The 27,868-nt window shown below is 45.6% G+C and overlaps 2 long non-coding RNA genes across 2 annotated transcripts in view; both read left to right on the top strand.

The window, feature by feature from the left end:
* Positions 1 to 2,046: 2,046 nt before the first annotated feature.
* Positions 2,047 to 4,559, top strand: LOC105375899 (uncharacterized). Its single transcript, XR_929044.3, has 4 exons — positions 2,047 to 2,220; positions 3,044 to 3,177; positions 3,312 to 3,454; positions 4,352 to 4,559. It is a non-coding gene; the product is annotated as an uncharacterized LOC105375899 (long non-coding RNA).
* An 11,646-nt stretch (positions 4,560 to 16,205) lies between these two features.
* Positions 16,206 to 27,868, top strand: part of RDH10-AS1 (RDH10 antisense RNA 1) — a 45,556-nt gene continuing 33,893 nt past the window's right edge. Inside the window, exons 1-2 of the long non-coding RNA NR_125388.1 lie at positions 16,206 to 16,375; positions 27,371 to 27,446. This is a non-coding gene — a long non-coding RNA (RDH10 antisense RNA 1). The remainder of the gene's footprint in view (positions 16,376 to 27,370; positions 27,447 to 27,868) is intronic.

The following is a 27,868-nucleotide window of genomic DNA, read 5'->3' as shown; positions in this document are numbered from 1 at the left end:
TGCTGATGCAAGAGGTGGGCTCCTACAGCCTTCGGCAGGTAGGATAGAAATGAGAGAGAAAGAGAGATAAAGCAGGGATGGTATGGTGGGAGAGAGGAATTGGATGAATAAAGAGCTGGAAGCAGAAATAAGCATGAAATATCTCAGTTACAGTAAATTATCAATATGAATGGCTGGACTGGAGGTCTGAGTCAAGATGTACTCATTAGACTATAAAGCAGAGCCAGCCAAATTGCAACAGTTCTGAATGCCAAGCTAAGGGTTCTGGACTCAGCATGTAAGCAGGACCCATTACCTCATTCACAGGGTCCAGTGAAAAATGAAAACATAAGGCCCCTTGTTCAAAAATGATTAAGAATTTCAAGACAGTGCAACAGAGATCAAACCAAATGCAGAGCCCTCCCAAGCATGGGGCCCTGTGCGACTGGCCAGGTCCTACACCCATGAAGCCCACCTTGTGTGCAAGCCTTATGCTAAGAATGCATTGAAAGATTTTGAGCAGGAAAATGCTGGATTAGAGTGGTCTATTAGATGGGTTAGCTGTCAGGTGCTGCCTGGATGGATGGGGACAGAAAGTGGAAGAGGGACACGTGTTAGGAAATCACTGGACTTGTCAAGGTTGGTGGCTGTTGTAGGAATGGAAAGAAAGGTCACATGTGATGTGATAGGATGGATCCCTGTGTATATGGGCTGGGAGGGGAAGAGCCCAGGCCTCCATGATATCACCATAGGTTGAGCCTGGATCTTGGAGAAAGCTGTTATCATTGAGAGAAAGAGGAAGTGTGGAGAGGGGAGCCGGCTTTGGGAGGCTGGTGCAGAGTAACCAGCCTTAGTCATGCTGAATGGGAGATAAGGGTAGGGCCTCCAAGAAGAAATGTCCAGCTGGCAGCTGAAGATGAGGAAGAAAATCCAGGCTTCGAAACGCAGCTTTGAAAAATAATGGGGTTGTGTAACTGTTGAAGTTGTGAGACCATATGCCATTTCTTAGGAATTAGGTGGATAGATAAGCAGAGTGCTAAAAAACAGATGAGGACTTTAAAATAATATTTTCTACCACCACTTCAAGAAATTGGGCAATTAGCTGTGATGTTGGATCTAGCAGCCTGGAAGGTTTATCCAATTGCGATTTCCACAAGGTGGTTGTGCAGAATAACAAATCTGTTTTCATCTATCAGTGTTAAAACATGGTTTTTTAAATAAATGCCGGAATATTGCTAAAAACTTATCAACATTGACTGTCAGAGGCGCTCCTGGCAGGTTCCCAACCCCCCTCTTCTCCCTTTTCTTCACTTTTTAATGATCCATTTATTTTTCGGGCAATTATTTCAGGAATTTGAAAGTTTAAGCAGGGGTTACATGGAGCACTAACAGGAAATGTCTCATCTTTCCAAGTTTATTGTTGAGAGTGGCCAGATGTCATTTGTTTGTGAGTGGGAAATGGGAAGTTAGATCACAGAACGTGAAATTTAAAACTCCATGTTTTTTTAAATAACGGGGAGTGCAATGGAGAAACACACGGGGAAGCCACTTTTGACTCCTCTGACTGTGTTAGCAGTGTAGGGGGCAGTGCTCGTGAGAAAGATGTTAATACGAGAACATGTTTCACTGTCTGCAAGCCCTGCTCGCTTCGAGGTCTGTGTGCAAACAGCTGGTCTCTGCCTGGCCGGGCCAGGGTGTTTGCGAGCTCTCCGTGGATCTGCTGTAATTATAAACCCCAAGAAGGGCCAGGAATGGAGGCCAGCATGCTTATTGGTCACTATGCCCCAGAATAAAGAATCAGAAAGTAACTTATAAAGAGTTCTGCAGTATTTAGCACTTACAAAAGCAATTATATTGATTTTTAAAAATTATATTTTCAGCCTCTGTGGTTTAAATTCTGGGTCAAACACTTCCCGACTGCTCGGGCTGGCTCGCTCGCTCTAGCCCCCGGTCTCTAATTGCTCACTAACTGTCCCGGAAATACCCTCTTCGTCCCTTGCTCTTGCTGCAGTGGGCTTTGGCAGGCTTCCGCTGGCCAGGTGTTGTCCCCAGCAGTCGCCATGGCAGCGATGTACAACAAAGACTCTGAGGGGCTTGGAATTGACAGGCCGGAGGTGGGGCCCGAGTTCCTGTCTCCAGCCCACGATTTGCCGATCCATCTGTCTTCCTCAGAGAGAGAGGGCGGATAATGCAGACTGCGCTTCCTTGGAAGACGGCAGGCTCCAGGCCAGACAAACGAATGTAAACTTGAAATTGGGCCAAATATGGGACATTTAGTTGAATGGGAGGATACAGAGCAAAGGGATCCAAGAGCAGCCCCAAGGTTCAGAAGGTTCTTGGCTGCTTTTGCAAAGGAAAAGAAAAAGTCTCCACCTACCTGCTGGACTTTCTTCTTCTTTTTTAAAAAAAATATTTATTTATTTATTTATTTTTTATAGAGACAGGGTCTCCATTGTTGCCCAGGCTGGTCTCAAACTCCTAGCTTCAAGTGAAGCTTGGCCTCCCAAAATGCTGGGATTACAGGTGTGAGGCACTCTGCCTGGCCCCTGCTGGACTTTCAAGAGCACAGGAAGGATTTCTCTTCAACCCTTACCCCGCTCCTCCACTCAAAGTTATTTAGCACGTTTTTCTTTCCTGGGCCCTGCCTAAGATCCTGAAATCCCACGTTAGTCTCTTCTTGGGGTTAAATCATTAAGGTTCCATTTATACAAATACTGAGCTGGTGCAGCCAGCCTATTGGCCAGCCTTGCCCACCATACTGGCTACCTGGTCATCTACTGCCACAATGCCCTGGGATGGGAAACACAGCTAACATGCTTTTTAAAATTCTAGTAAACTATACATAACATAAAAATGACCATTTTAACCATTTCAAATGTACAATTTAGTCTCATTACGTACATTTGCTGTCTTGTGCAACCATCACCACTATCAGTTTCCAGAACTTTTTCATCATCCCAAACAGAAACCCCATACCTGTTAAACAATAACTCCCCATCCCTCACCCCCCCTCCCCTGATAACCTCTATTTTACTTTCTGTCTCTATGAATTTACCTATTCTAGGTATCAACCATACAGATGAAGAGCTGAGGCTCAGGGAAGGAATTTGCCAAGGTCACGAAGCTGTAAGACACAGAACCTGGGGTGTCTGCCTGTAGAGCTCACACTGACTCTACAGCCACTGATCCAAAGCTTCAGTAAGGGGGTCTTTCTAGCAGGGCTCCCCCAGGGTGAGAGTAATGGTGGGGACTCAGCCAACCCTTTATGTTGACATTGTGCATTCCTGCAATTTATCTAATTTGCTCTTCTTCATAATATTCCTATCTGACAGATGAGCAAGAGATGAAGTGACCCCTCCAACCCCACAGCTCAGCGTCTTTCTTGAAGCTCCAACTCCAGGGCCATTGTTTTCCTGTTCTCCCCGCTCCAAGGCCTCTCCTCTCTCCTTGGCCCAACTCTCTGACAGTGATGCAGGTACTTGGCAAATTTAAATGGGAGGGACTGCCTTTAAAAACCAATGAACCCCTTCCGAATGAACATATTCTATTGAATGCCATATGAAGAAAAATCTAGGGGTTTGTACTGGTTTCCTGAGGCTGCCAGTAACAAATTGCCACAAACTAGGTGGTTTACAACAACAGAAATGTGTTCTCACAGTTCTGAAGGCCAGACGTCCAAAATCAGAATGGCATTTGCTTGAAGGATCCAGGGGAGAATCCCTCCTTGCTTCTTCCAGCTTCTGGTGGCTCATGGCAATACCTTGACTTGTAGACATATCCCTCCAATCTCTACTTATGCCTTCATATCACCTTCTCTTCTCTTATGAGAACAGTTGTCATTGGATTTAGGACCCACCCTAATCGAAGATGATCTCACATGTAGTTTAATTACATCTATAAAATATGCTTTTCAGTAAGGTCACTTCCGTGGTTTGAATGCCCCCTCCAAAACTTAATGTTGAAACTTAATCCCCAACGTGGCAGTACTGAGAGGTGGGGCCTTTTAGAGCTGGTTGGATTGTGAAGGTTCTGTCCTCATGAATGGATTAGTTCCATTCATGAATTAATAAATTAATAGGCTCATGGATTAGTGGGTTACCATGGGAGGGGAACTGGTGGCTTTATAAGAGGAGGAAGAGAGACCTGGGCTAGTACATTAAGATTCTCAGCCCCCTTACCATGTGGCGACCTGTGCCACCTGGGGACACTGCAGAGTCCCCACCAGCAAGAAGGCTCTCACCAGACTTAGCCCCTCAACATTGGACTTAGCCTCCATAACTGTAAGAAATAAACTCCTTTTCTTCATAAATTACCGAGTTTCAGCTATTCTGTTATAAATGACAGAAAACGACTAAGACAGTCACATTCACAGGTTCTGGGCAGGACGTGTCTTTTGGGGGCCATTCACCCCCAGGCTTCGTGGTGAATGACTGACTAGAAGCAGTGCCCTCCAAGTTGGTCCTTCTGAACCCATCAATGACAGTGGACAGAAAAGTTGGCCACTGATTGAACTTCAGATCTGTCTCGAACAGGGAGCCACTGATACCTGTGTAGGAACCAGCTCCATCACCCGGCATCCCAGCCAGACCCACCACTGCAAATGTTCCTACATTTTGCTATTGCATAGAATTTCCCTTTGGGGATTATAAATATACCTTCTTGCTTAGGTTTTTACTAGAAAAAAGAGAGAGAAGCAAAACAGCAAAGCAAAGCTCAAACCCCACCAGGCTGTGTCACAAATCTGTGTATAATGTTCTCCTGTTGCTCAAGGAAACACCCCCACAAAGGAGTTTTGTTGAATGCTTTGAACTGTCCCTCAGTGTAGAGGACATATTATGGGGTTGGAACATCCAACAATTTCTTTTTGGAAAATAAACTGGGTCCTGGTCCGGAACATACCCTTTGTCTGATTTTGTGCCACAAGAGCATAATGATGTAAAGCCTGAGGTTCCCAGCTTCCCAGGAAGATGTTGCATTGATAGATTCTGGTTCCACTCTGGCCAAGAGACCTTGCCCACTAACTCTTTGCCATATGAATTGCTTTCTAAGCTACAATTCTCCTTTCATCTTGCTTTTCTAGCCCATCTCATACTGAATTTAAAGAAGCTTACAATGGACCTTTTTTTGGTACCAAATATCTTTCCCTAGGAGGATGCCTCATTTCTTGTCATTCTGTCTGACTCAGAGTCCATGCTCTCCTTGAATCTTTTCCTCCTCACTCCTGGCCTCACAACTCAGGCCCTCCTCTAAAGTCCCAAAGGATACATTGCTGCCCCCCTCCCCAGCATGTGGCATCCCCCTCACCATGGAGGCCAATTTCCTGCCTCCCTGTATTCCCCTTCTATGTCCAGGACCAACATAATTGTATGTGACATAGTCAGAGCTATTTGAGTGACACTGGAAGCCCCCAGTATTCCTGTTACACGGGTTACCCCATGATCCCCGCCAGATAGGCAGCAGTTTCTCAGAATTCAATAGCTTCATAAATTTAATTCATTTTAAAATAGCTTTATTTTACTGATTTTTATTTATCCTGAAAAATTGTTGTGAAAGTTCCTAGCTTTGCTTCTTTTTAAATGGCCTATTGCTCATTTTATTATTCAGACCTCATCCTTGCTTTAAGAAAGAAAGGGAAGCATCGAATCCTGAGATCTGACCACTTTTATCTGTGACTAATTCATTTTAGCCTTAGAGAGTCAGCGTGATAGGAACCACTAGTCATGCATTGCTTCTGCATGGCTCGATCCTGCTAGGAAATGAAGCAGGATTCTCCGACACCGGGGTGCTTGGGCAGCCCCCCACAGGTTCGTCATCGTTGAGTGCATGGCTGTACAGTCAGGGGTAGAGAGTGGCTTCTTCACCCCTCTTCAGAGGTCCCTGCCAGGAACCCACACAGGGCCAACCGAGTCAAGCACTGCTCACTTGCTTTTACAAGTGTTTAATCCTCCCAGTGGGCCTGTGTAGACAGTCTTATTGTTATCTCCAGTTTAAAATAGAAAAACGGGGTCCTGAGAGGTTAAAGTCTCAGAGGTGGACCCCAGCTGCCTGGCCTCAGAGTCTGTGCATTTGACCACTGTGGCCCTTGCTGTGTCACAGGCCCCCTAAGGCAGAAGGCGCACCAGCCACCAGGCCACACTGCCGCCTCAGGGAGGAGAGAGTAGACATTTGAATCATGTTCATTAGGTACAGTGCGACGTGGAAAGTAAACTCCAGCATATCTCAGTTAGTATGATAAGAATCCCATAGGTTAGGATGAAGGCACTATTTATTTATTTAGTTAGTTAGTTAGTTATGTTTTGAGATAGAGTCTCTCTCTGTTACCCAGGCTGGAGTGCAGTGGCGCGATCTCGGCTCACTGCAACCTCCACCTCCCAGGTTGAAGCAATTTTCCTGCTTGAGCCTCCCAAGTAGCTGGGATTACAGGTGCCCACCACCACACCCAGCTAACTTTTGTATTTTTAGTGGAGACAGTGTTTCACCCTGTTGGCCAGGTTGGTCTCAAACTCCTGACCTCAGGTGATCCACCCACCTTGGCCTCCCAAAGTGCTGGGATTACAGATGTGAGCCACCACGCCCAGCACTATTTTTTTTTAACTTTTAATTTTTCCTTTCTTTCCATTTTCAGGTTAAGGTCACACAAAGGCACTGTTTTTATCACTATTTTACACATGAGGAATTGACAGTTCCTTGACTGGATTTGCCTAGGTTTGTTTGTGGGTAGAGGGAGGAGACAAGATTGGAACCCAGCCTAGTTCTTCCATCCCTAAGTCCAGGCTTTCTGGTTCCCAGGAGCACGCCTTCCCACAAGTGCGGAGGCAGTGCCTGCTGGGTCTGCTTTGATCACGTGGAGGAAACTCACTTCCCCCAAGACCTCTTTTGCACCTGCCTGCCCTTTTGTCTGAAGTCCCCCAAAGCCCCACCTCTGTTGGCCTCCGCCACGGGAGGTGCCCCCACTGGGTGGGCTCACTGTTTATTCCCAAACCTGACCTGGATGAAGTGGGCGCTCCTTACCTTGTTCCTCGTAAGGAGTTTTCCCCCAGAAAATCCCAGTTAAAATGCAAATGTGTTGCCTGGCAGAGACGCCTGGAGTTCGTGCATTGGTTCCTTCTCAGAGAGCAGGATTCTGAGGGTTGAGACTTGATAGGACTGAAGAACACAGTCGGGGGAACTGCAGGGAGGACAACGGGCCCTGGGGAGTTCAAGTGTGGGATGGAGGACCCCAACCACCATGGAAGAGGGAAGAGGAAGCGGTCCCGCTCTCAGGGAGAGACAGAGATAGAATGGGCACTATCCTCTTCAGCAGCACCCTGGGGTGTCTGGCCCTCAGGACACAGTGAGCCTGGCCACCTCATAGACAATGAGTGAAGCCCACTGGTGGAGTCCAAGGCTGGATTCTCCCCAGTCCTGGAAAAATGCAAAAGGAGCAGGTTTCCCCGAGAGGGCCCTGGGAGCAAGCTTAGCTACCCACTGCTCCTCTCCTACTCAGGCAAGTATCCCCCTGCCCCTTATAGGACAGTAAGTCAGGAAAGGATCCATCTCTCACCCCACCCACCCCAAGTTCATCAAGCAGCCCTGCACCCCATCTGGAGGCAAGGAGTGCCTCTTAGACCCTTTCCTAGGCCATACATACAGATGCACTGTACACGGCAATGGAATCACTCTACAGATCATTTTCTGCCCCACCATGCCCATTTAAATCTATCAGACCTGACACTGTCAATGACAGCAGTGTGCTGTCATCGTTTGAAAATAGCCGCATTATATTTCATCACGTCACATCGCATCACATAAGCCAGTTGCCCACTCATGAATTATAGACTCGTTTCCAACCTTTTGCTGCTGCAAATACTGCCACAACCGGCATTTGGGTACCAGTTTCTTGCATACATGGAGCAACTTGTTTTCTAAAGACATTCCATGAACCACTGAGCTTGCTGACCACAGCCTGTCCTTAGGAAAGGAGAGAACAGAAATGAGTTTTCCTAGGCAAAGGGCTCAGCTTTGGAAACTCAGCTTCAAGCTGCCCTCCAAGCCATGCCAACGCAGCAGGTGAATCATTTCACCCAGATTTCTGAGCCAACCTCAGTGAGAATGACCACGAGTGAGAATCTCACGCCAGCCAGGCCAGCCTCTCACCTCTTGTTCCGGGGAACAGAGGCAAAACCTGCATCATTTTCTGTAATGCCAGAGGAAATCCCCAGATAAGGCAGACACCCTGATGCCTCACAGAAGGCACTCCCACAGAGATATAAACGGATGAATGCTTTCTTCATCACAGTTCACAGTTCTCAATGGCCCTTCAGGGCTGCCAAAAAACCTCTCTTAGCTCATTGCTGCTTCTGCCGCAGCCAGACACAGCACTTCCTAGAAAATCGTCATTCCATTTACTGTTTATTCTTGGGGTGGATTACTATTTCCCATAAACTCTTGCAGCGTTAAAGGTAGAGTTTCAGTAAATCTCATCAGATGTCCACATGAAAGGAAAAAGATGTCCTTTATTTTTAATGTGCCAGAGAAAAGGAAACCATGACCGCATTTTTCAGTTAGTGACAAAAGCCAGTAATGGACGATTCTAGCTAGGGGACCCAGTGCTGCTTTACAATTGCTATCCCTACCTCTCTAAAAGGCCAGGGTGCTACCTGGCATGTAAAGATGTCAGGAGGACTGTTCCTTCATTACCCTTTGGAGTATATTAATTCTCATATTTGTCATTGACAGTTTGCATTTTAGTCAAATCTGTAAATCACTCACAAGAAGCTCATTATTTTTAATGACTTTTTTGTTAACATATTTTTATCCTGATCAATATTTGAAATAATGAGTTTAGTGTGCTAGTTGTATTTTTTTTTTCTAATGCCCATGTCAAAATGTCAAATGTTACATAGCACCTAGAATGCTCTGGAGCCTGGAGCAGCGGCACACTCTGCTAAATGCTGGACCGCATTGGATCCCAGATTCCAGCCTCCTAGCAGGGTGCCTCCAGAGGCTAACACACGTAGGCTACCTTTCAGACATGGAGATACTGTCATCTGTCTTTGCATTTATATGCATTTAATGTGCCACAGATTCAGAAAATGGGGGCTAGGAGAGATGGAGAAATTACCTACTTTTCAAAAGGCAGAGGTGCTTAATGGAAACTGCATAGGCTTTGGAATCAGGTCCGGTACACATCTTAGTGACATTAGATAAGGTGGCTCATTTGTAGAGGGGGCATATTAAGAGCCACTTTATAAAGCAGAACAAAGATTAAATGAGATAATAGACACAAAGTGCCTGATTGAGGAAAGGTATTCACAGCCCATGGCAGCCAGCATGACCTTCAGTGCAAGTCTGGATGTGATAATCACCCACGTGCAGACAGATCCAAGCCTTCGAGACGTTCATACCTGACCCAAGGATGGGTCTTGCCTCTGTCACTTGCCATCCATGTGATCTGGGGGAATGACTTAACCACCAGGGATTCTCAACTTCAGCTATACCATAGGGCTAACAATGTCTATCCATAGGACTTCTGAAAGGACCACACAAAACACACAGGGAAGCGCCCCAAGCATGCAGTAGGCCCATCATTAATGTAACTGAACTTTGAGCTGCGTGCCAGGATCAGTAGGCATCTGGGTGCTGGGAAACTGGGTTCCTTCTTTCCTTGCCTTCTGGGAATGGAGGGCAAAGCGAGGGAGTTGTGATAACATTTCTGGCTGATGGTCTCAGGGGACTGTGGCATTGATATGAAATGTCCATTCTAGATTCATGATCACAGCAGTGGAGGATGGTGGGCATTTGCGGGGTCTCTTATGATGATCTAAGTTTAAGTGTAGTCAGATTTATTGTGAGTAGGAGTTGGGGAGACAAAGAACACTCAGGAAAACCAGGAAGGGTATCAGACATCCCCCCTACCTGGCTCCATTTTCCTTAACAGTTACCACGTGGCATGGGGTCCTGCCCTGCCTGTCGGATCCAGGCGTGGTGGTAGTGGACAGGGTGGGGAATGGGAGGGCTGCATCCCGGCTGAGCTCCTGCAGCTCCCACACAGTCGGCCACCCTTAGAAGATGCGCTCAGATGTGGTGCTGAGAAAATAACTCTACTTCCTGCAGAGACTTCAAAAACCCACGCCCTGTCTACTGCTGCACATTTTTGCAGCTGAAGGAGAAACTGCTGGAAATAGGAGTTTCCCTGATGTTATCACGATGATGCCGACTGTGTTCTTCTGGAGACATCGGGGAGTTGGCTCAGGAAGGGCTGGGTGGGAAGTGATGCAGCTTTGGACAAAGGCTCTGGGCTCTTCACAAAGGGAGGTAAGGTGGGGCCTCCGGGTTCCGAGTTGGCTGAACTTTCACCTGCCCTCAGTGGCAATAGTTCTAGTCCTAAGAGTAAAGGGAGAGGAGAGCAGAGATTTAGAGAAAGAGATGAGCAGAGCAGGTAAGGCCATGCAAGACCCTCTTCAAACTTGCTGTCTTCCTTCACCCTACCCATCTTCTTCCAAAAAGGTAACATCTTTGTCCTATTGATCATCTTGGTGTTTCTAATTCCCTTTCTTTAGATCTTTTTGTATCGTTCAGAGATGCCCAGAGCAGTAAAATGAGCAATGACTCCTTTGGAGAAATAGCTGATTCCTGCTGGGATAGGAAATGTCCAAGATGAGCTTTATACATGTGATTTTACCAGAAAGCAGAAAAGCTCTTAAAAACTGGTCCAGAAGCCAGCTGGAGAGTCCTACTGGCCAAAGATGGGTTCATTTTTAACATTGCAAAAGAATAATGACTGCAATATATGGAAAGGTAATAAATATAGAAATCCATGAGCTCGCGATGATAAAAAGAGACCCCTCATTGATCACCACTAGAGGTTGTTTGGGTATCAACTCATTTCTCTAAAAATTGACAGAGAACAAGCATCGATCCCATCTTTCCTGTGTGAACTATATTTCAGAGTAACTAAAGAGCCAACAAGGTAAAGGTCATTTTTATGTAAGAATTTACCCCTAATAAATGCAGAAGGAATAACAGAATTAGAAAATTATGAGTTTGCAGTCCCTAATGAAATAATGAATTCAGAAATGATCATCAGTTGATACTGATGGCATGGTGGCAGGTGCCTGTAATCCCAGCTACTTGGGAGGCTGAGGCAGGAGAATCGCCTGAACCCAGGATGCAGAAGCTGCAGTTAGCTGAGATCATGCCACTGCACTCCAGCCTGGGCAACAGAGTGAGACTGTTTCAAAAAAAAAAAACCACTCTTACATAGTATTTAACATACTTGGCCAAGGTTCAAATCCTGCTTTTGGTGCCTACCTACCCATGCATTTATATTTTTTATTATTTATTATTTATTTATTTAGAGACAGAGTCTCACTCTGTTGCCCAGGCTGTAGTGCAGTGGCAGTGCAATCTCGGCTCACTGCCACCTCCACCTCCCAGGTTCAAGTGATTTTCCTGCCTCAGCCTTCCAAATAGCTGGAACTACAGGCGCCCACCATCACGCTCAGCTAATTTTTGTATTTTTAGTAAAGACTGTGTTTCGCCATGTTGGCCAGGCTGTTCTTGAACTCCTGATCTCAGGTGATTTGCCTCCCAAAGTGCTGGGATTACAGGTGTGAGCCTCCACACCCGGCTGACAGAGAACTTTAAAGCAGGAACTACACAGCAACACCCATGAAGTATTCGTTGCACATTAAAACTTTAAAATGGAATCTATTGAAACTCCTAGATCTGCCCTATCCTATCCGGTAGCCACAGGTGGCCTTTGAACACTTGAGATGTGGCTATTCTGAACTGAGATGTGCTTTAAGTGCACAATACATACCTGATTTTGAAGAATATAAAAGAAAAAGAATATAAAATATCTCATCTATAATTTTTTATGTTAATCACACTTTGAAATGATAATATTTTGGCTATTTTACATTAAATAAGTTATTAAAATAATTTCACCTATTTTTTTAAGTTTTAAAAGAGAAAGTTTAAAATTAAATATGTGGTTCAAATTATATTTCCACTGGACAGCACTGCTCTAAATATAACTTCACAGTTTATAGAAAATACTGGTGGTAATGGAACTAGTTAACACCAAAAGGAAATAAATCCAGAATGTGGGGCAATTTACTTCCTACAACAAATAAATGGTATTAGAACAAATTGGGAAGAGGGGTGGTCTCAGAATAAAATAGATATAACAACCAAATGCAGTATTTGAATCTTGTTTGCTTCCAGAACGACTATTTATAAAAAGATACTTTTGAAACAATCTGGGAAATTTGAACATTGAGACTGGGTATTAGATCATCTTAAAGGCTTATTGTTTATTTTGTTAGAGGTAATAACAGTATTACGGCTATGTTTTTAAAGATGTGCTTATCTGTTAGGAGTGCATAGCCAAGTATTTGTGGGTGGAATCATGTGTCCTCTGGGATTTGCTTTAAAATGTTCAGAGTAGGAAGGTGTGGTGGTTGGGTAAAACCAGGCTGACTAGATGTTGATTAATATTGAAACAAGGTGATGAGGCTATGGGAGTTCATTATATTTTTCTTTCTACTTTTTACACATTGAAAAATTCTAAAATTTAATTATAAATATTTAATACATATCTATATTTATACTATATAATGCTATATTTAATAATAAAAGTATGTATTTTATATAATAAGTTATAATGAATTTCGATGCCGCCAAAGCTATTTTTTATTTTTAACACCTGGCAAAGGTAAAAGCATGATTGGTTTGTCCGGCAAAGAGTCATGAGCCCTTAGAAGGCAGAGTCCAAAGGGACTGGGGAGGCAGGCTGAAAAGACCAGTGCCCCACTCTGGCCCTGCAGTAGCAGGTCATACCTGTTTCCCATGAGATGTGCAGGCCAACCAGGGCCAGTTCAAAAACACAGGATTCCCGAGGAGGGAGAGGGTTGGCAGGGCCCATGACCATCTAAAGGCCTGAGACGCACTTACAGGTCTGCCTGGGCAGGCCAGCTCAGTGCCTGGATGGGCCTCACGGGTGGGCACTGGGTCCCAGGGCCTGGCATATTCATGGTGTACCTGGAGGTGACTAGGCCTGAAATTCACGAGAGTGGATGAATAATCCCAATTTCTGTTTGCTAATTTACTGTGAGCTGTAACTGCCAAGGATCAGATATCCATGAACAGCATGTTGTGGAGAACCAACACTGGGTGGGAGAAGAACTTAGAAAGTAGCAGCGGCTGGAATCACCGGGCTGTGATAATTCCCAGTACATCTCTCCCCACCAGAGAGAAAACTGCCCTAGTGATGGCGCAGGACTTTCTTTTTGGTAGTAAGAGGATGTGGTTAAAAATGTAGTCCTGATTTTAAAGAATATAAAATATCTTATTTAAATTTTTTACATTAATCACATTTTGAAATGATAGTAGTGTGTCCCTAATTTTATCTGTTGTGGGAGACTGTGACCGACCACTGAACCCTCCTCCTCCCTCCAGACCTTTAATCAAGTTACCCTTGAGGTAGTCCATCTCTTTAAAGTAATTCTTCATTTTTATTCTGTGTTAAGAATCAGCTCTCAGAGGGCAAAAGTATTCTTTTGGTCCCAAGTTCTGATGGTGTCTTAGTCCCATTATGCTGTTTTAAAAAAATACCACAGATTGGGTAATTTATAAACAATAAACATTGATTTCTCACGGTTCTGGAGGCTGGAAAGCGCAAGGTCAAGGTGCCAGAAGGTCTGGTGTCTGGTGAAGGCTGCTGTTTGTTTCCAAGATGGCACCTTGTTCACTGTGTCCTTACGTGGAGGAAGGTTAAAGGCCAAAAAGGAGCAGACGCAGTGTGAAGCCTCTTTATAAGGCATTAATGCCATTCATGAGGGCAGAGCACTCAACCCCACCACCAGAAGGCCCTACCTTCCGATACAGTTGCGCTGGGGATTAAGTTTCAGCATGAATTTTGGAGCGGGCACGCACATTCAAACCATAGCAGATGGGATCCCTCATGTTACACCTTCAGGGTGTAGACAAGGGACTAAAGGTGAACTTTATCTGGTTCATGATTTCCGCAGCATAATAGTCATGAATATGGGTCCTGGAGTTGCACAAGTGGGGACTGTGTTTACTCTTACCTCATCTGTTGACTAATTGTGTGATCTTGAGCAAATATCCCCTCGAAGCGTTGGGTTCTTAAAAGTATATGCCCTTGACATGATTGCAAAACACCAATCACACAGAGCATCCACTACTGCACCTGGCATCTAGTGGGTACTTGGTAAATGAGAGCACTAGCTGTTGTGTTATTATTATGGGTGCAACTTAGAGTTGGTCCTGGCTAAATAGGTTTTGCTCACAGAGGCTAAACTATATGCCAAACCTAGGAAGCTTAGATCTGCACACCCCACTTGCAGATCTAAAGCATTTCTTAAGAGAATTAAAAATGGGACCAGGGCCAGGCACGGTGGCTCATACCTGTAATCCCAGCACTTTGGGAGGCCAAGGCAGGTGGATCACTTGAGGTCAGGAGTTCAAGACCAGCCTGGCCAATAGGTGAAACCCCATCTGTACTAAAAATACAAAAATTAGTCGAGCGTGGTGGTGCACGCCTGTAGTCCCAGCTACTCAGGAGGCTGAGGTAGGAGAATCACTTGAACTCAGGAGGCAGAGGTTGCAGTGAGTTGAGATCACGCTACTGCACTCCAGCCTGGGTGATAGAGCGAGACTCCATCTTAAAAAAAAAAGCGGGGGGGGGATACCAGGTTGAGGAATATAGGCGAATCTGATAAACGAGGTGTATTTGACATGCCCACCCTGCTTGTTTCTCTGCAATTTCATGAGGCTGCAGGGGTGGGGAAATGGAAGTTGCCTTTGACCTGACCCATGGCAGCCACTCATGACACAGGGAGTTAGCCTGTGTTCCACAGGATTCACTCCTCTTCTTTTCCCCAGCAACTTGTATCCATATGAGTCCTAAGACCCTCCCCATACAGCTGCCACCTTCCTTAGTGGTGTCCTGGGAAGGATGGTATTTGATGACTTGATAATGCTCAGTGGGTTATCCTCCAAGAGATATTTGCTTTTGAGCTCAGGATAAAGCCTCAGTTAGCTCAAAATAACAAACCTATAAGGATTCCTGTCAGAATCCCTAAGTGCCTGGCACCTAGTAGGTGCTCAAGAAATACTTATTAAGTGATAAATGGAGGGGATTTCAAGCACTGTTGTGAATTCCTGAGGGGCATCCTTAGGCCTGGGGACTTTCCTGGGACCATTCCAATCACCCCACAGAGGGTGCTTTCCTGTTGCAGTTATTCAGAAGGCCCGCCCTGAGCAAGGGCTCCAAACCAGGATTTCCTTCAGGGTTGAGGCCGACTCTAGTGGCAGCTTTAGGCGCTTCCTCGCTTCACAGTGCTTTAGCGCCATTAAAGCTCTGCTTTGGAGGACTGGGGTCCCAGGGGGAGTGAGAGAAAGCTCACCACTTAAGTCATTTATACTTTGGCTGCCCAGGCCTGAAAAAATGCCCTTGGGACTGATCCTGAAGTGCGGAAGGATAAGTTAAATGGCTTAATAGATCCTGGCAGCTTCGGAAAGGACTAATGGCTCAGCATTAATTGGGTACATAGAGTGCAGATGAATCTCTGAAAAGGTATTTCAGATTTGCCCGTTCAGCTTTCACTGGCTTCAAAGCATCACATCAGTTGACTCCCAAACAATGTGGATTATTAAAGAAATATGAATACTCGATATTTGCATCGACCTTCATATTTCTGGTGCTCTTGTTTATCCCCTGAGCAACAAACTGAATACCACTATGTGGCAGGGATTGTGCAGGGGGCTAGAGATAGATGAAGTTCCTGTCCCTGTCCCCACATGCCTTTATTCTGGAAGGCAGAGGTTGGGAATTTGAAAACAATGAGACAGCTGCTGGGTTGGAGGTCGATCCCAGGAAGACACAGAGGAAGGAGGAGGCCGGGGCTCCGCCTGGGTGGTAGGTGGCAGTGGAGGCTTCCTGGGTGGGTGGGGACTGGGGCATATGCCAGGCCTCCAAGGCAGGCAAACAAAGGCTCTGGCCGAGGGAGCAGCATGTGACTCACGCAGGGGGTTGGATGGGGAGCACACATGAGCTGGAGGGAGGAGGAGGGGGCTGGGCGAGGTAGGCAGGAGTCAGATAACGAAGAGCCAATGGGCTGTCAGGGGAGCGTCTGCCTGCACTGTGATGTGACTGTGAGTCACCGCAGGACCGGAACACGGACAGGACATGTGCGGCTCTGGGCTGTAAAAAAGACACCACTGAGAGTACAGAAAACACCTGTGAGAGAGGCTGGCATCCAGGGCGGGAAACCTCTTTTGAGGGCGTGAACCAGGATGTGAAGCAGCATTTGAATTCTTGCTGCTCTCTTCTGGAGCAGTGGGATATTGGGCAGTTCACTTAACCTCTCTGAGCTCCTTCCTCAAGGTGAGGAGAAAATGAAAAGATGTCTGAAAAAGAATATCTCAGGCACTTTGGTTGTAAGTGACACAGAGAAAACCATCTTTTATTTTTATTTATTTATTTATTTATTTTTTGAGACAGAGTCTCACTCTATCCCCCAGGTTGGATTGCAGTGGTGCCATCTTGGCTCACTGCAACCTCCACCTCCCTGGTTCAAGTGATTCTCCTGCCTCAGCCTCCTGAGTAGCTGGGACCACAGGTGCACCACCTTCACCCTTGGCTAATTTTTGTATTTTTAGTAGAGATGGGGTTTCTCCATGTTGGCGAGGCTGGTCTCAAACTCCTGAACTCAAGTGATCTGCCCACGTCAGCCTCCCAAAGTGCTGGGATTACAGGTGTGAGCCACTGCGTCTGGCCCAGAAAACCATTTTGAACCAGCTCAGTCAAAAGGAAGAATTTATGGGTAATCTCCTATTGCCCTGGAAGAGGCAGCGGTATGGAGGCCCTCAGGGTGGCAGAAACAGCTGCTGCAGGAGGCTCTCTCTCCATCCTTCACACTCCTGCTGCCCTCTGAGCACTGGTGCCATATTCCTCCCTGGAAACATGGCCAGCTACTGTTCACACGCCACAGATCACAGAGCTTCAGCACTTTCTGTAGTCTCTTTCTGTAGTTTCTGGTGGACAAATCCTGGAAAGAACTTTGATTGGCCAGGTTGGGGCTGGGTACTCTTCCATTGACCGGTCAGTTTGGACAGTGGGCAAAAATTATCATGACTGACCCAACTCAAGCCTTGTGGCCCCACTTCAGTCAATTAAATATGACCAGGGGAGCCACAGTTTAGAAACTGTGATGGCTCCCACTGAGAACACAGGATTGCAGTGTGGGAAAGAGTATTTCCTAAAGGTATGGGTGCTACGGGGTTGCTACGGGCTGAATGTTTGTAGGCCCCTAAGTTTGATACATTGAAGCCCTAAATCCCAAAGTGCTGGTGTTAGGAGTTGGTGCCTTTGGTGGTGATTAGGATTCGATGAGATCTTGGCTGGTATCCTCAAAATGGGATTTGCACCTTTTTAAGAAGAGGAAGACAGAGATTTCCTCACATACACCAATGAAAGGTCATAAGAGAACACAGTGAAAAGTCATCTATAAACCAGAAAGAGGATCTTCCAAGAACCAAATCTGCCAGTACCTTGATCTTGGACCTCCCAGCTCCAGAATTGGGAAATGAACATCCGTTGTTTAAGCCACCCAGTCTATGGTATTTTTATAGTAGCTCAAGCTAAGACAGAGGTGCAATCCCAGAAAATGAGAGATGCTGGGTAGATAAAACTGGATCAGCATTACAAAACACTTTGTAGATGTAAAACATTATACAAATATTAGATATTGAAGATATTGTTCCCTCTTTGAGAGTGGTACTTCTTTGGATCCATCTCTCTAGTTTCGGTGTGTAGAATAGTTACTGACACATAGTAGGGACTTTGTAACACACGGTACTGAGTTAGTGAATGCCACAGATTGAATTAGTGGATAGTCAGTGGACAGCATAACAGGCAGAGGAGTCCAACTTTATTAGAGATTAGGTTCTAAAGTCCACACAGGCTGGGCACAGTGGCTCACGTCTGTAATCCCAACACTTTGGGAGGCTGAGGCAGGAGGATTGCTTGAGCCGAGGAGTTCAAGATCAGCCTGAGGAACATAGCAAGACTCTGTATCTATTAAAAAAAAATGTGAAAATTATTTTAAAATTAGCCGAGTATGGTGGTGCACACCTGAAAAGTTCCAGCTGCTAGAGAGGCTGAGGCAGGAGGATTGCTTGAGCCTAGGAGGTCAAGGCTGCAGTGAGCCATGATAGTGCCACTGCACTCCAGCCTGGGCAACAGAGCAAGACCCTGTCTCAAAATAATAAATAAATAAGATGTGGAAATCACATGTAATCAACATAACCCTTGAAAATTCCCTAGAGAGGTGACCATGTTGAAAAACACATACCATCACTCAGTAAGTTTGATAGAACCATTTTTTCCTCCAAATTGGAACACATTGATGTTTCCTGTGGTCAAACACCAGAGGAAGCCGTTGGCTTTTATTTAAGCATGATGTTTTATAAGAAAATACATTAACAGCTGAATCTCATTTAGCATGGGGAGATGCTCAGGAGGAAACAGCAGATTCACTTCTCCCATCTCAGGCTCTCTCTGGACTGGGCTCATTGAGTCGAATGGCAGGTGGACTTCCTTGCGTTCAGTTTCATATTCTCTTGTTTACTTATTTGTACAGTGTATGGTGCTCATCTTCTAGAATGTGCATACATTGAGTTAGGAGGCCCATCTGTCCTGGTCACTACAGACTCTCCAATGCCTATCATGGTGCCTGGCATAGCAGGCTCTCAATAACCACATATCAAAGGAATGATCTACTGCACAAGGCACCATACTTGGTACTGAAGAGGTGGGATGAGATTTGTGAAACTAGCCTTTCCTCGGGGCATGGCCAGCCTAATAATAAGGGAGGTAAAATATGAAATGCCTGAAGAGACATGCAATGACAATAGCACCCAGCTGGAAGTGTCAGTAAATAACAGAAGAAAAAGTTCTGGTGGACTGTCAGATAAAGTAGGACCTACTTCTAGGGACCATCCTGACTTTTGCTTGAACTCCCTCCTGTTTGCTTCTCCATTCATCCAGAGACGTTTTTGCTTTTCTGTAGCCTGGGCCACGCTCAAGCCCAAGTGTTTACTTCAAATATGTGCTGGTGCCTGGAGCTAGCTGCTTTGTGACCCATTTGCTCAGGGATGTGCCTCAGTAAGGAGGCATGACAATTAGGTCTGGACTTGGTGACCCCTTGGGGGAAAGGGTCTTACATTCCTCCTCCCCACTGCCCGTTTACCACTGCTTTGTGGAGTAGGACTTCAGTCAGGCTGTCCCAGCTCTCACCTGAGTGTCCTAATTCCACAGCAGAGCTACTGAGGACGGTCACCACCTTTGTCCTCATGAACCTGCCCATCTGAGGAGCAGTTTCTTCCTCTTCTGCTCTTGCAGGCAAGAGAAAAAAAGGCCACCCACCCTGTCTGACCTGCTCTGGTCTGGGAAGAGTTTCTCTGCTAGTGGCTTTAGACTCATGTCCTGATGGGGATCATGTAACTGGAATCTCCGGTCATGGCCAATGTGGACAGGTAGTCAGTGCATGAAGGGAGGCAGCTAACTCATTCACCTGACTGCCAGGTCATGGATAGTTCACATGGAATATAAAATTTATTTTGTTTTACTGAGGAAAAGTTAAAGCATGCATACATAACCACCATACGTAGCAGACATTCCTCCAGACTTTTGAAAATTCTCTATGTATTTATCAATATACATGCATCTTAGTCCATTTTGGTTGCTATAACAAAACTACTATGGCTTATAAACAACTGAAATTTATTTCTCACAGTTCTGGAAGCTGGAAAGCCCAAGATCAAGGTGCCGACAAATTCACTGTCTGGCGAGAGCCCTGTTTCCACACAGACTGTTGTAACCTCACATGGCAGAAAAGGCAAAAAATCTCTCTGGCGTCACTTTTATAAGGACACTAATCCTATTCATGAGGGTTCTACCCATATGACCTAATCACCTTCCAAGGCCCCACATCCTCATATCATCACATTGGAGGTTAGGATTTCAACATATGAATTTTGAAGGTATGCAAACATTCAGCCTATAACAACACACAAATACAAGAATGGGATTATATGATAATTTTGTCACCTGATTTTTTTCACTTTTACTATATCATAAACATCTTTCAATGTCAAAAATACAGAATTGTCACTTTTTTTTATGTCTACATAATATTCTATTGCGTGGGTGTACCATAATTTATTTAATAGCAGCCTATCATTAACCAGTTAGTTGTTTACCATTTATTATTATTATTATAGGCAATGCTGCAATAAAATCTTGTACATACTAGCATACATTTGTTTGACAATTTTCTTTTTTTTTTTAAGACAGGGTCTCACTCTGTTGCCTAGTCTGGAGTGCTCACTGCAGCCTTGAACTTTTGGGCTCAAGTGATTCTTCTGCCTCAGCTTCCAGAGTAGCTGTAAGTACAAGTGCATGCCACCACATATGGCTAATTATTTTTATTTTTTGTAGAGACAGGGGTCATCCTATGTTGCCCAGGCTGGTCTTAAAGTCCTGGCTTCAAGTGATCCTCCCAAAGTGTTATGATTACAGTGCCAGGACTTGATAACTTCCTTAAGAGAATTTCCTGGAAGATTATCGAATTGAAGGGTATGCACATTTTAATATTGCATCAATTTACATTTTTTTATTCACTTAAAAAAAAAAAAAGAGATGGGGGTCTCTCTATTTTGCCCAGGCTGGTCTCGAACTCCTGGGCTCAAGCAATTCTCCCATCTCAGCCTCCTAAGTAGCTGGAACTACAGGTGCATGCCACTGGGCCCAGCTATAATCTACATCTTGCCAACGATGGACAGGAGAACCACCAATGGGGTACACACATTCTTTTTTGTCTTTAGTACTCTGAGCTCTTGTATCTTTTTCTAAGTGTCATTTTTGACTTCTATTAAGTTTTTTCATATGTTTAAGGTCCCTAGATTTCTTTTTTGGGTATTGCCTATTTGTGGATGATATTTTTTAATGTAAAACAAAATGACTCGAATTTACGAGGTCAGACTGTTTGAAGCATGTCAGTTTTATTCATTTCCATTTTCTCTTTTCTGTTTTTTCTCACTTTCTGAACATGACCTGTGTCATTTTCCCTCCGTTGCACCTATTTAGCCTGGTCTGGGCCCCTGGCCTGTCCCTGCCATAGCCCAAGGCCAGGATGATCCTCCCCTCCACACCCCCGATTGCCTCAGACACTCCTCAGGATAGGATTTGATTCATATTTCAACCTTATAAACAGTGGCCGAGAACCTCAGTGAGCTAGGGACTAGGCTGAATACTGAAGTGGTTAAAAATGAATAAAACAGCTGGGTGTGGTGGCTCATGCCTTTAATTCCAGCACTTTGGGAGGCTGAGGCAGGCAGATAATTTGAGCCTAGGAGTTGAAGACCAGCCTAGGTGACATGGCAAAACCTTGTCTTTCCAAATAAACAAAAAAATTAGCTGTGCGTGGTGGCGGCGCGTGCTGTAGTCCTAGTTACTCAGGAGGCTGAGGTGGGAGAATCACTTAAGCCCATGAAGCAGACGTTAGAGTGAGCCGAGATTGTGCCACTGCACTCCAGCCTGGGCAACAGAGTGACACCTCGTCTAAAAAAAAAAAAAAAAAAAAAAAAAAAGAATAAAACACAATCGTTCTCAGGAGCTGAGCATCTAGTAGGAGATTCAGACACGCCCCTCGTCACCAATGCTCTCAGATGTCCTCTAATAGAAGTGAGATGGGAATGGAGGAGGAGATAGGAATTTCAACTCTTGGATCTCAGATGATTTCTTTAAAAAAAAGTAGAGATGGCTGGGCATGGTCGCTCACGCCTGTAATCCCAGCACTTTTGAGAGGTTGAGGCGGGCAGATCACGAGGTCAGGAGATCAAGACCATCCTGACCAACATGGTGAAACCCCGTCTCTACTAAAATACAAAAAGTAGCTGGGTAGGCCTGGCGTGGTGGCTCACGCCTGTAATCCCAGCACTTTGGGAGGCCGAGGCGGGCGGATCACGAGGTCAGGAGATCGAGACCATCCTGGCTAACACGGTGAAACCCTGTCTCTACTAAAAATTCAAAAAATTAGCCGGGAGAGGTGGCGGGCGCCTGTAGTCCCAGCTACTCAGGAGGCTGAGGCAGGAGAATGGCGTGAACCCCGGGGGGCGGAGCCTGCAGTGAGCCGAGATCGCGCCACTGCACTCCAGCCTGGGCGACAGCGAGACTCCGTCTCAAAAAAAAAAAAAAAAAAAAAAAAAAAAAAAAAAAAAAAAAAAAATTTAGCCGGGTGTGGTGACACATGCCTGTAGTCCCAGTTACTTGGGAGGCTGAGGCAGGGGAATTGCTTGAACCTGGGAGGCGGAGGTTGCAGTAAGCCAAGTTCGTGCCACTGCACTCTAGCCTGGGCGACAGAGTGAGACTCTGTCTCAAAAAAAAAAAAAAAAAAAAAAAAAAAAAATTAGAGATTTGAGGGGAAAAGGTATTTCAGGCAGCACAAACAGTGTAACATTAAGAGCAACTGCTGATTAAATAATTGTCATGTGCCAGGTTAATTGGTGTTGTTGCTAATTCTGCCAACAGAGCTACACATGGTAATTTCTATTCTCATTCTTCTACAGCTGAGGAAAGGAAGGCTTAGAGAGGCTGAACAACTAGCCCAAGACTGCTAACTAGTGCCACAATGGAGGTTTGAACCCAGGTCTGGCAAAATAAAAGCGTGTGTTTCGTGCTCATCCAATTACTGCTTGAACGAAAGTTGGAGGGCAGAGAGTGTGCAGGGTACAGGATTCTTTGGAGATCAGGACTGCAGAGGGCTGTGAATGAGGTGGAAGCACCTGTTGTCTCTTACTAGTGTCTATTGTCCCTTCTGTCCTGCAAGTCTCAGTTCAGGTATCACCTCCTCCAGGAAGCCTTCCCCGACTTCCTCAGTTTTTCTGGATGACTATCCTCCGCCACCACCATTCAGGTGTAACCCTGTGCCTTCCTTTCCCGTGGAGTTATTCACTGTCTATTAATTGTCTACTCATCTCTTTCTGCCCACTGGACAGTAAGCTCTTTGAGGGTGGAGCCACATCTGATCATCTTTGCATTCCTACTTTGTGAGTGAAAGAATGAAGGAGTGAATGGGGCACTGGGTGTGGAGAAGAGGGAATGGATAGGTTCCAGGCAGCCTGGCAGGATCTGGCAACAGGCAACGGCAGGGGCAGGGTGGAAAGAAAGCTCTGAGGGTTCAGCCTGCCCTGAGAAGAGGGATGCAGGGAGAGAAGCAGGGTGGTGGGAGGGTCAGGGATCCATAATAAAGGTCATGGGGTCCTGAGGATAAACACCTTGGGTCTGGTTGCAGGCTGTCTGGGTTCATTTCCAGTTCTGCCACCTGACTCCCTTAGGACTTCTGGGAACTTTAAGACTGTGTCTCAGTTTTCCTCATTGGTAAAACGGGCCTATTAATCATACCAGCTCACAGGTTGTCATGAGGATTAAGCTGAGCTCATGTGTGCCCAGAGCTAGCATCACTTTCCTGCTTTTTCTCTGGGCATCTCCCGGTTTCCCAAGGCTCTGCTTCCCATGCAGGGTGTAGGCAGCGTTGGGGTGCTACTGCGGGGAGCTTGAACTGGTGCAGCCCAAGGCTGAGATGTCTTTGGTAAGGGATCTGTAGCAGTTTTGTTTTTTGTTTAAGGCAGTGGGCTCTGAGGTCACAGGACCAGGGACAAGTCCCAGCTCCAAACTTACTAGCCGTGGAATCCTGAATTTGTTACCTAACCACTCTGACCTTCAGATTCAGAGGATAACAAAACAGGGATAATAATAGCACATGCCTCGTCAGGTTGTTGGTGAGTGTTAATTAAGATAGTAGATGGCTTCTTCTTAGAATAACTTCAAATTTCTCATGGTAGCCTGGTGAGTCTCCATGTACTCTGACCTTAGATGGCCGCCCACCTGCCCCCGGCTACCCCCTGTCCTCCTCTCAGGCCCCTAGGACTCTGCTATTCCTGCAAACTTATTGTCATCTCAGAGCTCGCGCCTTGGAGCTGTTCTTGCCCAGGTCGTTGCAAATCTTTCTCCCTCACATCATTCAGGTCTTTGTTCAATGTTACCTCCTCAGAGTGGCCTCCAGGATCTCCCTTGTAAACTAGCTTCCTCCTGCCCTCCTATCCCCTCCCTACCCGCTTACCTTGCATTCTGGATGAGCCCTTCCATGCACATGATGTGCTATTCACAACTATTTGTGTATCGTTTCTCCCTTCTGGAATGTAAGCTTCCCGAGCACAGGCACCTGGTCTGTCTCCTTCACTGGTGTGACCCAGTGTCTGAAAAAGCAACTGGCACATATGAGGTCTCAATAATATTTATGAAATGAGTGTGTGAATAAACGAACTGCTTAGCACACACCTGACACACAGTCGGTACCCACTAAACGGTGGCGGTTGAGACTCTTAACATTATCATATCACCACGGCAAAGCAGAGTCATTTGGGTTGGAGCATGAGCTCCAGAGCACGGTGCCTATGTTCGAGTCCCAGTTCTGCCCTTTTCTACCTGCACAGTCCATGGCACAGCCTCTAGGCCTGGCCTTTGTGGTGTTGCAAGAGTCAGTGGGTGAATCCTCGTGAAGTCCATGCATCAGGGCCCAGGCAGAGGAAACCCTGCACGTGTCAGAGTTGGCTGATGGCACTTGTGGACTATACCAAGGCACACTCAGTAAAAGTGCTCGAGTTTTCAAAAGAGCAGATAACAAAATAACATTTCTACTCTCTTCTGCCACTTCTGTCTTGTTTTTAGCTTAAAAAACAAAACAAAACAAAACAAAGAGGCCAGGCACAGTGGCTCATGCCTATAATCCTAGCACTTTGGGAGGCCGAGGTGGGAGACTGCTTGAGGCCAAGAGTTCAAGACCAACCTGGTCAACATAGTGAGACCCTGTCTCTATTTTTTTAATTTTATCACAAAAAATTTTTTAAAATAAAAATTAAAAACCAGGCTGGGCATGGTGGCTCACAGCTATTATCCCAGCACTTTGGGATGCCGAGGCAGGAGAACTGCTTGAGCCCAGGAGTTTGAGACCAGCCTAAGCAACATAGCGAGACCTGTCTCTACAAAAAAATGTTTTAAAAATTAGCCAGGTGTGGTGGTGCTTGCTTGTGGTTCTATTATAGCTACTTGGGGGGCTGAGGCAAGAGGATCACTTGAGCCGGGGAGGTCAAGCTTGCCATGATCTGTGATTGTGCCACTGCACCCCCAGCTTGAGTCACAAAGCAAGACTCTGACTCAAATAAACAAACAAATAAATAAGTTTTTAAAATCAGGGCAAAATTTACATAACATAAAATAAACCTTTTTCAAGTGTACAGTTCAGTGGCATTGAGTACATTCACAATATTGTGCAACTCCACTTGTATCTAGTTCGAAAACCTTTCCTCACTCCAAAAGGAAACCCCACGCCTATTAACTACCTGTTAAGTAGCCAATCCCCAGTCTCCCTTCCCCCAGCCCCTGGAAATCCAGTCATCTATTTTCTGTCTCTATAGAGTTACCTATTCTGGCTATTTCATATAAATGGGATTATACAAATACGTGACCATTTGTGTCTGGCATTTTTCACTTAGCATAATGCTTTCAAGGTTCGTCTGCATTGTAGCATGCGTCAATACTTTTTCTTTTTAGGGCTAAGTCATTTTCCATGGTAGGTGGACACCGTATCTTGTTTATTCATTTATCCTTTGATGGAACATTTGGGTTGTTTCCACTTTGGGACGGTCACAGAAATGCTGCTGTGAACATTTGCATACAAAGTTTTGCTGGAATACCTGTTTTCAGTTCTTTTGGGTATATCTCTAGGAGTGGAATTGCTGAGTCATATGGTAACTCTATATTTAACTTTTTGAGGCACTGGCAGACTGTTTTTCCGTGTGGCTGCACCATTTTACATTCCCACCAGCAACGTATGAGGGTTCCAATTTCTCCACATCCTGACCAACATTTGTTATTTTCTGGTTTTATGATTCTAACCATCCTCGTGGGTGTGAAGACGTAGCTCATTGTGGTTTTGATGTTTATTTCTCTGATGACTAATGATGTTAAGCATCTTTTCATATACTGTGTGTTGTTGAACCAGGGGCAGGACTTAGTTTGATGGCCTTGTCTGAGGTTGTACAGTACAGGGAAATGTATTTGGAGAGTTCCATGTTTCCTCCCTGGTTTTCCCTTCATACCAGGGCGTGGGATTGGCTTCCTGGGTCCTATTTTACCTCCAAGTGGGCCCAGGAATTGGAGACCGCCCCGGTCTGTTATACAGGGACAGTGGTACCTGGCTCAGAGGGATAGCACATGAGATATGGGAGTAACTAAGGGAACAGACTGAAACCAGACTACTGGCATCCCAGTCCTGGCTCTACCTTATCTAACTATGACCTTGGGCTACATGAGTCAATGTCTCTGCCTCAGTTTCATGTCTGTAACTGAGTTTAATAATAGTAACTGCCTCGCAGGGTTGTCATGAAGATTAGATGAGTTAATATCTAAAAGCCAACACTCAGTCAGGGTCGGCTATCATTATCCCCAGCATTTCGTATTTCAGCTTCGGATGGACATGGGCTATCAAGTTCATGTTTGTTCTTCTGCCCAAAAGCCTCCTCGGAGTTCTTTATGGACCGTCTTCCATTTGAACTACATAGGAACTCTCTTATCTGCTATTTGTCTGTACCAATCTTCAAAGCAAAAAGAGCATGGTCTCATTTAATAGCTCATCTTGTGTCCAAGCAAGACTTTGATAAAACCTTTTAAAAACTGTGCACCTCTGATCATCAGACATAGGCCTGGAACGCAGAATGGGAGAAGTCAAATATGAAAGGCCAGTGTAACCCCCCAGACCACAGCTGCCTGGGCACTGCAGGACAGAGGGGAAAATCTGTTTCTTCCTCCAGCACAGGCCTCCCTGCCTTATCTCTGAATCCCACCCCAGTCCCTTCAGCATGCGGCTTAGCCAACCTAATCCAAACATCCCAGGAACCTCTTCTAGAGAAATGTGCCATGAGCCTCTCCTAAGGATGGCTTCCTCTGCCGCATCCGTGATTCCTTCAGCTCCCTTGATTCCTCACACCCTCATTTCAGGCCTCAAAATTCTTAGGCATGTGTTAGGGGTGGGAGGAGGGAGAGGATCAGGAAGAATAGTGGACGCTGGGCTTAATACCTGGGTGGTGGGATGATCTGTGCAGCTAATCGCCAAGGCACACATTTATCTATGTAACAAATCTGCACCTCCTGCATACGTACCCCCGAACTTAAAAGCTGCAAAAAAAAACTTAGGCAGGAAAATTCTTACTTTGTAGGAAGAGAAGAAAATCACTTTGAACTACTTTATCCCTTTTGTAGCCTTTTTTTCCTGACTACAGCGAGCAACAGCTGTTTGAGATGGTGGAGCACATTCTTGCTGGTGAAAGGAAGCAAGGTACTGAATGGAGTGGGAGATGGAGGGCGGGGGGAGTTGCCCATGGCTGTGTCACCAGGTCTGGTCTAAAAAAGTGTCTGGGTGCCCTTCATGCTCACAGCAGAGTAGGTTAACCACCTAGGGATCCCTTTCAGCCAGCTCCTGGAGCTAGGCAGGCCGTGAAAGCAAGGGCTCTGGTCCAAATCCCGGCTACCTACTTGTAGCTTTGTCCTTGTTTGTAATAGTGGGGTCTAATGAACTCACTGGCCTTTAATCTGACTTTTCCAATGATTGACCCGAGAGAGTCTAGTCCACACTCTCAGTTCCACAGATACGTGTAGAAATCCATCCTGAAAACCCAGACCCAACACAGGAAGATTCCTGGGCACTTCCAGGGCAGGCTGAAGACACACATAGGCTCCCTACTCTCCTCTGAGGAGTTC

This window comes from Homo sapiens, chromosome 8 (assembly GCF_000001405.40).
Source record: "Homo sapiens chromosome 8, GRCh38.p14 Primary Assembly".
Taxonomy (NCBI): Eukaryota; Metazoa; Chordata; class Mammalia; order Primates; family Hominidae; genus Homo; species Homo sapiens.
This window is presented reverse-complemented; position numbering and strand designations above follow the sequence as displayed.